The 14,554-nt window shown below is 37.9% G+C and overlaps 1 protein-coding gene across 8 annotated transcripts in view; it reads left to right on the top strand.

Annotated features, from left to right (window-relative positions):
* MALRD1 (MAM and LDL receptor class A domain containing 1) overlaps positions 1-14,554 on the top strand; it is a 687,552-nt gene that overhangs the window by 633,422 nt on the left and 39,576 nt on the right. For all 8 annotated transcript variants that reach the window (XM_011519453.3, XM_011519455.3, XM_011519454.2 and 5 more), the window contains 2 exons: positions 11,934-12,013; positions 12,110-12,206. In XM_011519453.3, the coding sequence (XP_011517755.1) occupies positions 11,934-12,013; positions 12,110-12,206 (177 nt within the window). The remainder of the gene's footprint in view (positions 1-11,933; positions 12,014-12,109; positions 12,207-14,554) is intronic.

Raw genomic sequence — 14,554 nt, forward strand, 5'->3', positions numbered from 1 at the left:
AGTTAGCTCTTCTTGTTGAATTGACCCCTTTACCATTATGTAATGCCCTTCTTTGTCTTTTTTGATCTTTGTTGGTTTAAAGTGTGTTTTGCCAGAAACTAGGATTGCAACCCCTGCTTTTGTCTGCCTTCCATTTGCTTGGTAAATTTCCCTCCATACTTTATTTTGAGGCTATGTGTATCTTTCGATGTGAGATGGATCTCTTGAATGCAGCACACCGATGGGTCTTGACTCTGTATCCATCTTGCCATTCTGTGTCTTTTAACTGGGGCATTTAGCTGATTTATATTTAAAGTTAATATTGTTATATGTGAATGTGATCCTGTCATCATGATGCTAGCTGGTTCTTTTGCAGACTTGTTGATGTAGTTGCTTCATAGTGTCATTGGTCTTTGTACTTCAGTGTGTTTTTGTAGTGGCTGGTAACAGTTTTTCCTTTCCATATTTAGTTCTTCCTTCAGGAGCACTTGGAAGGCAGGCCTGGTGGTGATGAATTCCCTCAGCATTTGCTTGCCTGAAAAGGATTTTATTAATATTTCTCTTTTGCTTATGAAGCTTAATTTGGCCAGATATGAAATTCTGGGTTGGAAATTATTGTCTTTAAGAATGTTAAATATTGGCCTCCCGATATCTTTTGGCTTGCAGGGTTTCTGCTGAGAGGTCTGCTGTTAGTCTGATGGGCTTCTCTTTGTAGATGACCTGGCCTTTCTCTCTGACTGCCCTTAACATTTTTTTCCTTCATTTTGACCTTGGAGAATCTGATTATGTGTCTTGGGGTTGGTCTTCTTCTGGAGTATCTTACTGAGGTTCTCTTGATTTCCTGAATTTGAATGTTGAATTTGAATGTTGGTCTGTCTTGCTAGGTTCGGGAAGTTCTCCTGGATGATATCGTGAAGTATGTTTTCCAACCTGGTTCCATTTTCCTCATCTCTTTCAGGTACCCCAATCAGTCATGGGTTCGGTCTTTTTGCATAATCACATAGTTCTCTGAGGTTTTGTTCATTCCTTTTTATTCTTTTTTCTCTCATCATGTCTGCCTGTCTTATTTCAGCAAGATAGTCTTTACGCTCTGAAATTCTTTACTCTGCTTGGTCAGTTTGGCTATTGATATTTGCGATTGCATTGTGACATTCTTGTGTTGTGTTTTTTCTGCACCATCAGGTTATTTATGCTTGCCTCAAACCTGGTTATTCTGGTTAACGCCTCCTGTAATGTTTTATCATGGTTCTTAGCTTCTTTGCATTGGGTTAGAACATGCTCCTTTAGCTCAACAAAGTCCATTATTACCCACCTTCTGAAACCGACTTCTGTCAGTTCATCCATCTCAGCCTCAGCCCAGTTCTGTGCCCTTGCTAGAGAGGTGTTGTGATCATTTGGAGGAAAAGAGGCACTCTGGGTTTTTGAGTTTTCTGCATTTTTTCGTTGATTCTTTCTCATCTTCATGACTTTCTCTATCTTTTGTCTTTAAGGCTACTGACCTTTGGATGGGGTTTTTGTGGGGGAATGTCACTTTTTTTTTTTTTTTTTTGAGACAGAGTCTTGCTGTTTCCAGGCTGGATTGCAATGGCACAGTCTCAGCTCACTGCTACCTCTGTCTCCCCACATTAGCTGTAGCTGAGACTACAGGCATGCACCACCACACCCAGCTAATTTCTGGGATACCAACATTTTATGGAATAACTATATCTCTGTGTTAGTACTTTATTTTACTTCAGACTTATTAGAACAATTATAAATAAATAAAACTTTTTGTTTTTTACTTTAGACTTATTAGGACAATTCAAGTTGATTAAAAGTAATCAACTTGAGTAAACCCTCTGCCAGTTCCTACCAAATTAATCGTGAACCCATGCTTAGAAAACGTGAGGTTCCTCATTTGTTTTCTCTGACAATGAGACAAATGAGCTGAGATGGGCACACAATGACAATAAGGGTGGGAGGAGTTTTTGTTCCAGGTGTTAGTGAGTAATGAATGGGTGTTACCAGGCACACTCAGAAATAAGTTATTTCAAAAACTCCTTCGTTATAACCTACTAATAGCAAAAGACCTGTTAGAATTTAAGAAAGATTTGATTAGGTTGGCTGTGGCTGAAAGCGTCCAATTATATTTTATTTTTTCCTTTCTCCTCTTCATGTTAAGAAAACAGGCTCTTATGCATGAATGGAGCGGGATGTTTATCTCTCTCTTTCAGGTGGGCTCTGCCTAATATTTATAAATATTATGAAAGATGCCAGAGCTAATTAGATGTGGAAGAAATTAGTCCAAGCAAATTAATCGCTGCTACTCAATGTGGAATTTTAGCGCTTTGTGGCTCAGAGATTATTTAGTGGCTTCTCTTGCTTTCTCATTTTGTTGCGATATAATTCACCCATGACAATGAGAATAGCTTGCTGAGGATTACCTCAATTTCCCCTTCTGCTGACAGAGGCTCAGCATATGGCCCAGAAAACACTCGATCTGAGCTGCAGCTTTCAAGTTAAGTTGGAAGAGCAGTACTTTCTCCCGCCTGGAGCCCTTCTGATGGGATAGAAACCTCATCTGGGCATGGGGAAAAGTCATGTACATGGCAGGCCCTGAGCATCTTCAGCACCTGCTGATTCTTCCCTTTCCTGTGTAACAGGATCAAAAGCCTCCAGCCTACTGAGACATCAAAATGGGTTGAGGCTGGGCACAGTGGCTGACTCCTGTAATCTCAGCACTTTGGGAGGCCGAGGCAGGCAGATCACTTGAGGCCACGTAGTTCAAGACCAGCCTGGCCAATATGGGGAAACCCCATCTCTACCGGAAAAAAAAAAAGAAAGAAGTTTTCAAAATGGCAGAATTGGTAAGCCATGAAAACAGAAACTATGGCAGTCACTTTTTACTCTTTCTAAGTCTTAACCAAATGCTCACAATGGGATCGGAGCCTGCCTTTGTTAGATCCAGCTCCCTGGCAGGCCAAGCTGTTAGGGAATGTGGTCCTAAGGTCAGCGGGGAAAAGCCACAACCAGAATTTATAGCAGAAAGCTGAAGATTGTGTAGCAAATAGCTTGGCATAGCACTTTACAGTCTACAATGTATTTTCATGTGCATCGTAATATTTAATTCTCATACACATTCTGAGAGTGACACTTACTGCAGTTCGTAAATAGGAAACTGAATCTGCCTGACTCTCCCAAAGCCACATAGCTAGAAAGCAGCAGAGTCTAGCTTGAACTCCAGGTGCCCTGAGTCCTGCATTCCTTTCTCTTTCCAGCATCACAGCTGCCTGTCTATATCTTGAGATGTTTGCAGGATGAGGCTTAATGTGATAAACGGACATTTTCAGACCTTTACAGCCAGAAATTTATTATGTTATGAGAGTGTTGCTCTCATAACAGATAAAAATTGTAAAGTTAATTAGCATTACAAATGATTTTTTATACATTCTTTTATTTATTTATTTATTTTACTTTAAGTTCTGGGATACACGTGCAGAACGTGCAGGATTGCTACATAGGTATACATGTGCTGTGGTGGTTTGCTGCACATATCAACCCATCATCTGGGTTTCAAGCCCAGCATGCATTAGGTATTTGTCCTAATGCTCTCCCTCCCCTTGTCCCTCACCCCCCAGCAGGCCCCGGTGTGTGATGTTCCCCTCCCTGTGTCCATGTGTTCTCATTGTTCAGCTCCCACTTATGAGTGAGAACATGCAATGTTTGGTTTTCTGTTCCTGTGTTCCTGTGTTAGTTTGCTGAGGATGATGGTTTCCGGCTTCATCCACGTTCCTGAAAAGGACATGAACTCATTCTTTTTTATGTCTGCATATTTTAACTTTAGTGAAGCAAAACCGTATGGTCAACAGAGCCAAAGTTGAAAATCTCCATCAGATTGCACCCTTTGGTGATTTACAGCGCCATCTCTCTGTGACTTCATCTTCTCCACTGTGAAATGAGGAAATAATTCTGACTTTGTAACATTATCATATTATTAAAAAATCGAGAAAGCATTTAGAATCTTGTCTAGCACATAACAAGTGCTCAATAAATATTTCTTATTGGGTGGGCTTTATATAATTTCTAAAGCATGTAATATAAATGGAGAGCGACACCATCACCTTTCAACATGATAGACATGAGTTGCTACAAAAAATACCTGCTAATGGCTGGGCATGGTGGCTCATGCCTGTAATTCCAGCACTTGGGGAGGCTGGGGCAGATGAACCACTTGAGGCCAGGATTTTGAGACCAGCCTGGTCAACATGGCGAAACCCCGTCTCTACTAAAAATACAAAAATTAGGCATGCTGGCACATGCCTGTAGTCTCAGCTGCTCAGAAGGCTGAGGCAGGAGAATCTGTTGAACCTGGGAGATGGAGGTTGCAGTGAGCCAAGATTGTGCCATTGCACTCCAGCCTGGGTGACAGAGCAAGACTCTAACTCAAAAACAAATAAATAAATAAATATAACCTGCTAAAAAGAAAAACAAGCCTATGTACTGTGAAACAAAATTATAAATCGAATCTGGAATATATTCCAAACATACTGCTTCTGAAGGAATTTTTCTTCCACATCCTTTAAAACTACAAAATTAGAGACTGAGCATGGTATGGAATCAGTATACTATGATACAGAATTAGTAAATCTGCAGGTTAGTGTAGGATCCTATTAACAACTCATATTTGGATATATCTCTCCAGAAAAAATCAGTTATAGGATTTCTATATACTTGGATAACCAATTTTTTCAAAGCACAGATACAGTATACATATATAAACACTTCCTTCCCTGGAATAAATATAATTTAATATATCACATGGTCCATAAATGCCCAGGTGAGATTGCACATTTTTTACTTTCTAGGTCTGGAAAAATAAAGATTCATGAAGCAATTTTTTCATGCTCTCTTTAAGAACTTTTCTTTATCTTTCTTCTATTTTATTTTCTATTTTGCATCTTAGTTATTTTTACATGTATTTTTCATTTTCTTTCTAAGTTCATACTTCTACAAATTCCCCAGCCGTGGCTTGTCCATCTTTATATCCTCAACATATCTGGTAGAGTATCTTGTACATAGTAGATGTTCAATAAATATTTTATGAACACAGGATTATTGATTTAATGAGAACAGCTGTAGGGAGAAAAATGGAGAAGTAGAAGCATTAAAGTTTGTGTGTAGATGTGTGTGTGTGCTAGTAATCGAAGACCCAATTCAAACTGGCTCAAATGATACAGGAATTTATTGACTTATACAACTGAAAGTCTACATGCAGAGCAGGCTTGGAACATGAACTGATGGAAAAGTTTGCAATGCCATCAAAGTTATTTTGCTGTTTCTCAATGACTTTGAAGGCTCTGTCTTCCTATCAATTGATTTTATCCCTAGGCTGCTTATTGTAGCAGCCTAGCAGATGAGTACCTGACCTTAAGAAAGCTGGATGCTTCCTGTTTTACATCAGAGTTGGGGAGAATAGGTCTCTTACCACAATTATCCATTGAAATGTACCCTTTTGTGACAGAATTCTTACTGGACAAACTTACATCCATGTCTATCTGTGAACCAATCTCATGGATTAGCAATGCCGTGCGGTGATAGGTGTGGTTCTGAGCCCAATTACAGCAAGAAAAATGGCATGGCCCTAGGAATTGGGTTGAGGGTCCAATTCTGTTAGCAATGGAGAGTATCTGAGTCATGCAGCACCTAAGTATGTTACTGTAGGCAGTGAATTCTTATGGGTCTGCAGCAACCTCCATTCTTGCCTTCTCAGAAGAAAGAGTTCCACCGAGGGGCATAAGACAGAGGAAAGACACAGGCAAGTTTTAGAGCAGGAGTGAAAATTTATTAAAAAGCTTTAGAACAGGAATGAAAAAGGAGTAAAGTACACTGGAAGAGGGCCAAGAGGGAAACTTGAGCGATCAAGAGCACATTTTGACGTTTGACTTGGAGTTTTACATGTTGGCATACTTCCAGGGTCTTGCATCCCTTCTCCCCTGATTCTTCCCTTGGGGTGGGCTGTCTGCATGTGTGGGGGCCCACTGATGCTTGGGAGTGGCCGTGCGTGGCGTGTTTGCTGCAGTTGTGCGCATGCTCACTCGAGGCGTTCTTCCCTTACCAGTCCAACATCCCTAGAGGAAGGTCATATACCAGTTAAACTCTGCCGTTTTGCTTCTTAGTGTGCACGTGTGAGCCCATTTGCTCAACTCCTGAGATCTTATTAGGAAGCTGCTGATCTCCAGTTTCAGGTGTTTCTATCCAATGGGAGACTGCCTTTCTCTTGCTCCGGCTGTGGCCAATTATTATTTTAGAGAGGCAGCTTAACAACTGCCTAACCATCACCTGATGGTCACCTGGCATTTCTGGTGGAGGGGTGCCTTCTCCTGCCCTGTTAATATCTGACTAGCGACCTACTGTGACAATCCCAACCAAATCGTGGAAATGCTATACAATTTGTGGAGGGTAGGGAGTGAGGATGGAAGCCTAAATGAATTTGAAGGCGGCAACCACAGCATGTGCAACATACATTGGGTAATAGTTTAAACTTCCAGAGTTCAAAAAATAAGGCTGAAATGCCGCAGTGTTACAGTCACACTTACTAGACACACAAAAGAAGTGGTAAAATGTAGAGCCCCATAAAAGCTCAAAATACATCAGGTCCTCCTGGGATGCTTTTTACTTGTGAGTGCTCTTTGAAAAAAAAAAAATAATAACGAGTGGATTTTTTTCCCTCCTATTAAGCTTAATTGTTAATTTTATGAGTAAAACTGATTCTAATAATTTCCTATAATAAGATGGCCAAAGTAATTACATCGTATCTAACATTTTTTTTCTTCTTGACGTTAAAACAAACAAGCATTCTAATTTAGACTGATGTGTCTTAGTACAAGTATTATTTAATATTTATGGTCTTTATGGATCTTTTTGGATTACACAAGGGGCAGAATCATATTTGCATTCAGCCTTGTGTAGTCATGAAATAGCAAAGAGATTACCTGCAAAGGGCTCTTCTAGTCCTTAAGTAATTGTCAAGCTCATAAGGTGAATCTCATTGTGCTATTCCTTTAAGATCCTTCTTTCTGGACTCAGACAATGGTTCAGCATTTCCCATACCCACCCACCAACCCACTTAGCCACTCAGCTTCCCACAGCTGTGCCTAAAATATCCCCACTTGCACTGGTTTTCTCTGGTTGGTGTCAGCCTAGCCTAAACCCACTGAATTACCTTCACAGAGCTTATCCACTTTCCTTGTCCTATTTCTCTCTATAGGAGCCTTCACCCTTTACCCCAACCAACTATAAAAATACCCAACACACCACTTAAAAACAAATACTTGCTTTATCCCTTCAGGATTAGACATTTTCTCGTTTTTCATTTGTTATACAAATCTTACTGATTTACTATTGAGAAAGTTGGTACAAAACTAATTTCGCTTTTGGCCATTCCTTTTAGAGACAATGACTGAAATAACTTTTGCACCAATCTAATAAATAGATGAGGAAGATAGCTAAGCTTCCCTACCCAGATTCCATGTGAAAAATAATGGAGAAAATCACTGTAACATTTTCTTTGTAAAACACCTTAATTATTATTATTTATTTTTTTAATGTTATGTTATGTTATGTTATGTTATGTTATGTTATGTTATGTTATGTTATGTTATGTTATGTTATGTTATTTTTGGAGAAGGAGTCTCACTGTGTTGCCCAGGCTGGAGCGCAGTGGAGTGATCTCGAGTCACTGCAAACTCCGCCTCCCAGGTTCAAGCAGTTCTCCTGCCTCAGCCTCCCACGTCGCTGGGATTACAGGCACCCGCCACCACACCCAGCTAATTTTTGTATTTTTAGTAGAGAAGGGGTTTTGCCATGTTGGCCAGGCTGGTCTTGGAACTTCTGATCTCAGACGATGTGCCCGCCTTGGCCTCCCAAAGTGCTGGGATTACAGGCATGAGCCACTGTGCCCGGCCTATTATTATTATTATCTGAGACAGGGTCTTGCTCTGTCACCCATGTTGGAATGCAGTGCATAGCTCCCGGCAGCCTCCAACTCTTGGGCTTAAGCAGTTCTCTCACCTTAGTCTCCTTGGTAATTAGGACTACAGGGGCACACCACCTTGCATGGCTAATTTTTAGAATTTTTGTAAAGAAGGTCTCTCCCTGTTGCCCAGACTGATCTCAAACTCCTGGCCTCAAGTAATCCTCCCACCTCGGTCTCCCAAAGTGCTGGAATTACAGGCATGAGCCAGCATGCCCAGCCCTAATGATTCTTAATAGGTAGTTATGGTCAGCTTGGAAGATAAGGGAGTCCACCAAGCTCTAGTTAGTGCAGACAGGATTTTCTGTTTTCGCTTCCAGCCCACAGTACTCAGGGGGATGGCAGGAGAGAAATTTCTTTCACTGCTGTTGCTCAAAGAATGGGTGGAACTTCAACACACCGTTCTAGCATGTGATTAACGCTGTTCTCAGCGTGCCATTAGAAGGGTTGGAAACTCACCCCTTTCAGGGAGATTTTAAAGAAATCCAGGGATCAGACTGCCACAATTACTTTGAACACTGGATATTCCATGGAGAAGGTTTAGTTTGACAAAGATGAAAATGCATGTTAAATATTCTCACTTGCTTCTTTCTGCAACCAAGCAAATGTCTCTCCCTTCTCCTCCCCCTCCACCTTTATACACTGGGGTGAAGAGGAAAGAAGAAGAGGAAAGAAAAGCAACAGCAACAAAAAGTTTGCACTAAAAATATATATTTATGTGTACACATACAAGGAGATAATTTCTAAAAATAAATGTCTGTGACAGTTATTTGTACAGACATCTGACCTTAAGAAAGTTCATGATACATCGCTGAGAGAAAAATCTAGGTGCAGAGGGAAGAATATGCTTCTATTGCAGGAAACACACATACAAAACTGATATATAGATACCTCTGTGTGTGTGTGTGTGTATCTGTACGTGTGTGTGTTCTATGAGAAGGTAAAAGTAGTAGGAGGAGACATACCTTAGTTACCTCGGGAGGATAGAATTGCATATAGGCATGAAGGTTTGTGTTTTAACATACATTTGTGGGTAATTTCCTTGACACTTCAAGCATATATTGTTATTAATGTAATAAACATCACGTGACCATTTTACAAGGAAAATTTTCTTCACTATAGAACATTTTTCTTCACTATAGAAAAATGCACTCCCTTTTGGATTTGAGGCAAATGATGGATAAAGTAAAGTAATATTGGATACTGGTGAAAAATGAGTCAATTTTTAAAAGCAAAGAAAGATGTGAAAACCATGTTTCTACCTTACAAAGTCAACAAGATGAATATTGAAAAAATTATCTTATACAACGATATGAAAATAATACAATTTTATTTTGGTTTTGCTTTGGCTTAACGTTTTTGGTTTCTTCTCAAAGTTATCCATGTTCCTGGTATGTCATTATTTATTGACATTCATCATTTTATCCCATGACAGTTTTGTGATTTTACAAGGAAAATTGTTATGCAGGAGGGGATAATTTGAGAATTTTAGTGTGGAGATTGCAGTTTTTTCTTCAAGCAGCACCATATCCATTTATAATCAGACTTACTGACTAAAATTTTTGGAATCATAGATTTCACCATATAAGTTTAAAATCTCAGTAATCTCTACTCCCATTTGAAAATTTACTGAAATCTATTAAAATTTATAGAAGGTAAATTATCTCGAAAACATGTATAGAAATCATTTTGTTTCAAGATGGCAGGCTGATACACAAGAAAAACTGAAGTGGAAATTTTTGGGGGGTAGTGTATTCATTTTTCTCTAAAATCTTTTTTTGTAACAGTTTGTTATGCAAATACACAACAAATAAAGATACGGATAAATCATACTTATTAAATTGAAGTTTTCCTTGGCCAAAAATAACTAAAATTCAACATATTTTGAAACTGCTTTTGACCCTTACAGTAGTTTATTTCCTATTATTTTCTCATGTTAACCGATAGGATGATATTACTTTAATTTGTTCTATAGCATAACTGCTCTGTGGAAAATCAATCAATCAATTAGTAGTATATATTTCCATAGCTATCGGAAGGAAGATCCCTATGAAGATTCCAATTCCTTTGTTTTATTTAGAAACATACATAATAAAACTTCTAACACTAGAATGGGCAGGACTTTACAAAGTTCAGAATTGGAGAATATCCTGGGCCTCTAAATGGGTGACGAGGTTTATTTCTCACCAAATCTTTCTGTTATTTTTATTTTTATAGGCAAACTTCTGTCAATAAGAGAAAATTTTCTATCTTTATTTTTTGTTTTATCCCTCATTCTATGTGTATTTTCTGTAAAATTAACATAAGAATTATTTCAGTCTAGTTTAACTCTCCATACAACTGTCAAAAGGCCACCAGTACTCTATTTGTTCATCACCAGGTTCTATATATAAATATAAATATATATACATTTAGATAAATAGGCAGTGTAGATAATAGATAGATGGATAGAAGATAGAATGAAAGAATGATAGGTAGGTAGATAGATAGACAGACAGACAGCATTCATATTCTTTCTCCATATGTCTTAGGTTTCTCCATTATTTTTTTAACTGGTAATCCAAGACAGTTTTCCACTAAAATTTATCAATAGGCACATTCAAAAGTGTACTATTTGTCTAAGATGATTACTGTAGCCCTGATGCCAGGAAAGTGGCACTATCAACATTTAAAGGAATTGAATTAACTCAGAGTGAAAATGTGTCCCCATCTCTAGATCATACCAGTGTGTGCACGTGTGAAAGATTGACAAGTAGGATTCACAAGGTCAAATGAGGACTGACAAGGAATGCATCTTAAGGATTGTGAGGGAAAAAAACAAATACCCCAATCTCTCACAATTCTAATTTATTTTAACTTGAATTGCAGAAACGTTAAAACAATGAAATTATCTTCATTTCTACTTTTAAAATAATATTTGCTAAAGAAAGAAAGGCATTCTGATAGGCCTCCATGAACCTCCACGCTTTTTATATTTAAAGAAGCTGATTGCTTTTGTGAAGGAATTACTTTTGAGCATACAAATTTTCAAATTTAAAAGTGATTAAGTGAAAATTCAATACATTGTACTGAAGAAGCATTGCTTCTAACACTCAGTTTTTATACACTCATATTCAAAAGCTACGTTTTCATCCTATTTTGTAGCATGTACTGTGAAGGTGGCAGGAAATTTGACCAAACCCTTCGTAATTTGTATCCTGTTACTGATGTTAAACAAGTGTGTATACATGAACTTTCAGATACTACCAGAAAAATTTCAATACATTTACTGCTTAGCAATAAACCTTATCCCTTAGAGGCAGAAGGTACTCTTTCATTCGTAACTTTCTCAAGACCATCCGTACCAGTGTTAAAAGTTTCATCATGTACATCCCTAAATAAAACAAAGGTGATGGAACCCTTGTAAGTGTCTGAGAATTTACTAGTACATCAAATGAGATTATTAACCTGTTTCCAAATCTAAACACTTGAAGGATTATCCCTTTGTAATGAGAAATAAATGTGTTCTTTGGTTTGTATTTATGGTAATGTAAAATTTGAATCTGCTCTGTTGGTTTTCTGAAATGACTTGAATCTCTTCACTATAGAAAAATGTGCTGCCTTTTGGATTTGAGGCAAATGATGGATAAAGTAAAGTAATATTGGACACTGGTGAAAAATGAGTCAATTTTTAAAAACAAAGAACGATGTGGAAACCATGTTTCTACCTTATAAAGTCAAGAAGATGAATATTGAAGAAAATTATCTTACACAATGATATGAAAATAATACAATTTAATTTTGGTTTTGCTTTGGCTTAAAGTTTTTGGTTTTTTATCAAAGTTATCCATGTTCCTAGTATCTCGTTATTTATTGACATTCATGATTTTATCCCATGCCAGTTGTGTTCAAATATCTTTTCACTTTTCTTTTTTCCAACTATTTTATTTTATCTCCTTTCCAGATGTAGACAAGGCTGGAAAGGAAATCGATGCCATATCAAGTTTAATCCTCCTGCTACAGACTTCACATACGCTCAGAATAGTAGGTGACATTATGACTAAATAAATGGCTTGGTTTGGGGTGGTCTCTAATATATTTCACTGCATATTTATCTTTTTCTTTGGTTTAAAATTCCAGATACATGGACTCTCCTGGGTATTGGATTAGCATTCCTGATGACTCACATCACAGTTGCAGTCTTGTGTTTTCTTGCAAACAGAAAGGTACCAATAAGGTAAGTGATGCCTTTAGTTGCTAAATGAAATATACCGTAGCAGAAAAATTTTCTTCAACATTTCCTTTGCTATTTTTTTCTTTCACTCCATATTACATGCAGGAAACTTTAGTGTTTTGCTGCTTTATGGATTTATTTTTCTGGGCAGAAAAGAGGAGCTACCTAACAAGAATTTCTCTTCTTTTTTTAGTATAAAGCCTGAAGTTTACTTTTCAGATTATATTAGGAGCCTTTTTGAGGGCGTATATATATATATATGAAATTTATATATATATGAAATTATATATATATGAAATTTATATATAGATGAAATTATATATATATATATATATAATTTCATCCCTGGAATGCAAGGCTGGTTCAACATACACAAATCAATAAATGTAATCCAGCATATAAACAGAACCAAAGACAAAAACCACATGATTATCTCAATAGATACAGAAAAGGCCTTCGACAAAATTCAACAGCCCTTCATGCTAAAAACTCTCAATAAATTAGGTATGGATGGGACATATCTCAAAATTATAAGAGCTATTTATGACAAACCCACAGCCAATATCATACTGAATGGGCAAAAGCTGGAAGCATTCCCTTTGAAAACTGGCACAGGACAGGGATGCCCTCTCTCACCACTCCTATTCAACATAGTGTTGGAAGTTCTGGCCAGGGCAATCAGGCAGGAGAAAGAAAGAAAGGGTATTCAATTAGGAAAAGAGGAAGTCAAATTGTCCCTGTTTGCAGACGACATGATTGTATATCTAGAAAACCCCATCGTCTCAGCCCAAAATCTCCTTAAGCTGATAGGCAACTTCAGCAAAGTCTCAGGATACAAAATCAATGTGCAAAAATCACAAGCATTCTTATACACCAATAACAGAAAAACAGAGAGCCAAATCATGAGTGAACTCCCATTCACAATTACTTCAAAGAGAATAAAATGCCTAGGAATCCAACTTACAAGGGATGTGAAGGACCTCTTCAAAGAGAACTACAAACCACTGCTCAAGGAAATAAAAGAGGACACAAACAAATGGAAGAACCTTCCATGCTCGTGGATAGGAAAAATCAATATTGTGAAAATGGCCATGCTGCCCAAGGTAATTTATAGATTCAATGCCATCCCCATCAAGCAACCAATGACTTTCTTCACAGAATTGGAAAAAACTACTTTAAAGTTCATATGGAACCAAAAAAGAGCCCGCATTGCCAAGTCAATCCTAAGGCAAAAGAACAAAGCTGGAGGCATCACGCTACCTGACTTCAAACTATATTACAAGGCTATAGTGACCAAAACAGCATGGTACTGGTACCAAAACAGAGATATAGACGAATGGAACAGAACAGAGCCCTCAGAAATAATACCACACATCTACAACCATCTGATCTTTGACAAACCTGACAAAAACAAGCAATGGGGAAAGGATTCCCTATTTAATAAATGGTGCTGGGAAAACTGGCTAGCCATATGTAGAAAGCTGAAACTGGATCCCTTCCTTACACCTTATACAAAAATTAATTCAAGATGGATTAAAGACGTAAATGTTAGACCTAAAACCATAAAAACCCTAGAAGAAAACCTAGGCAATACCATTCAGGACATAGGCATGGGCAAGGACTTCATGTCCAAAACACCAAAAGCAATGGCAACAAAAGCCAAAATTGACAAATGGGATCTAATTAAACTAAAGAGCTTCTGCACAGCAAAAGAAACCGCCATCAGAGTGAACAGGCAACCTACAGAATGGGAGAAAATTTTTGCAATCTACTCATCTGACAAAGGGCTAATATCCAGAATCTACAAAGAACTCAAACAAATTCACAAGAAAAAAACAACCCCATCAACAAGTGGGCGAAGGATATGAACAGACACTTCTCAAAAGAAGACATTTATGCAGCCAACAGACACATGAAAAAATGCTCATCATCACTGGCCATCAGAGAAATGTAAATCAAAACCAGAATGAGATATCATCTCACACCAGTTAGAATGGCGATCATTAAAAAGTCAGGAAACAGCAGGTGCTAGAGAGGATCTGGAGAAATAGGAACAGTTTTACACTGTTGGTGGGACTGTAAACTAGTTCAACCATTGTGGAAGACAGTGTGGCAATTCCTGAAGGATCTAGAACTAGAAATACCATTTGACCCAGCCATCCATTACTGGGTATATACCCAAAGGGATATAAATCATGCTGCTATAAAGACACATGCACATGTACGTTTATTGCGGCACTATTCACAATAGCAAAGACTTGGAACCAAGCCAAATGTCCAACAATGATAGACTGGATTAAGAAAATGTGGCACACATACACCATGGAATACTATGCAGCCATAAAAAATGA

Source organism: Homo sapiens, chromosome 10, assembly GCF_000001405.40.
Source record: "Homo sapiens chromosome 10, GRCh38.p14 Primary Assembly".
Classification (NCBI taxonomy): Eukaryota; Metazoa; Chordata; class Mammalia; order Primates; family Hominidae; genus Homo; species Homo sapiens.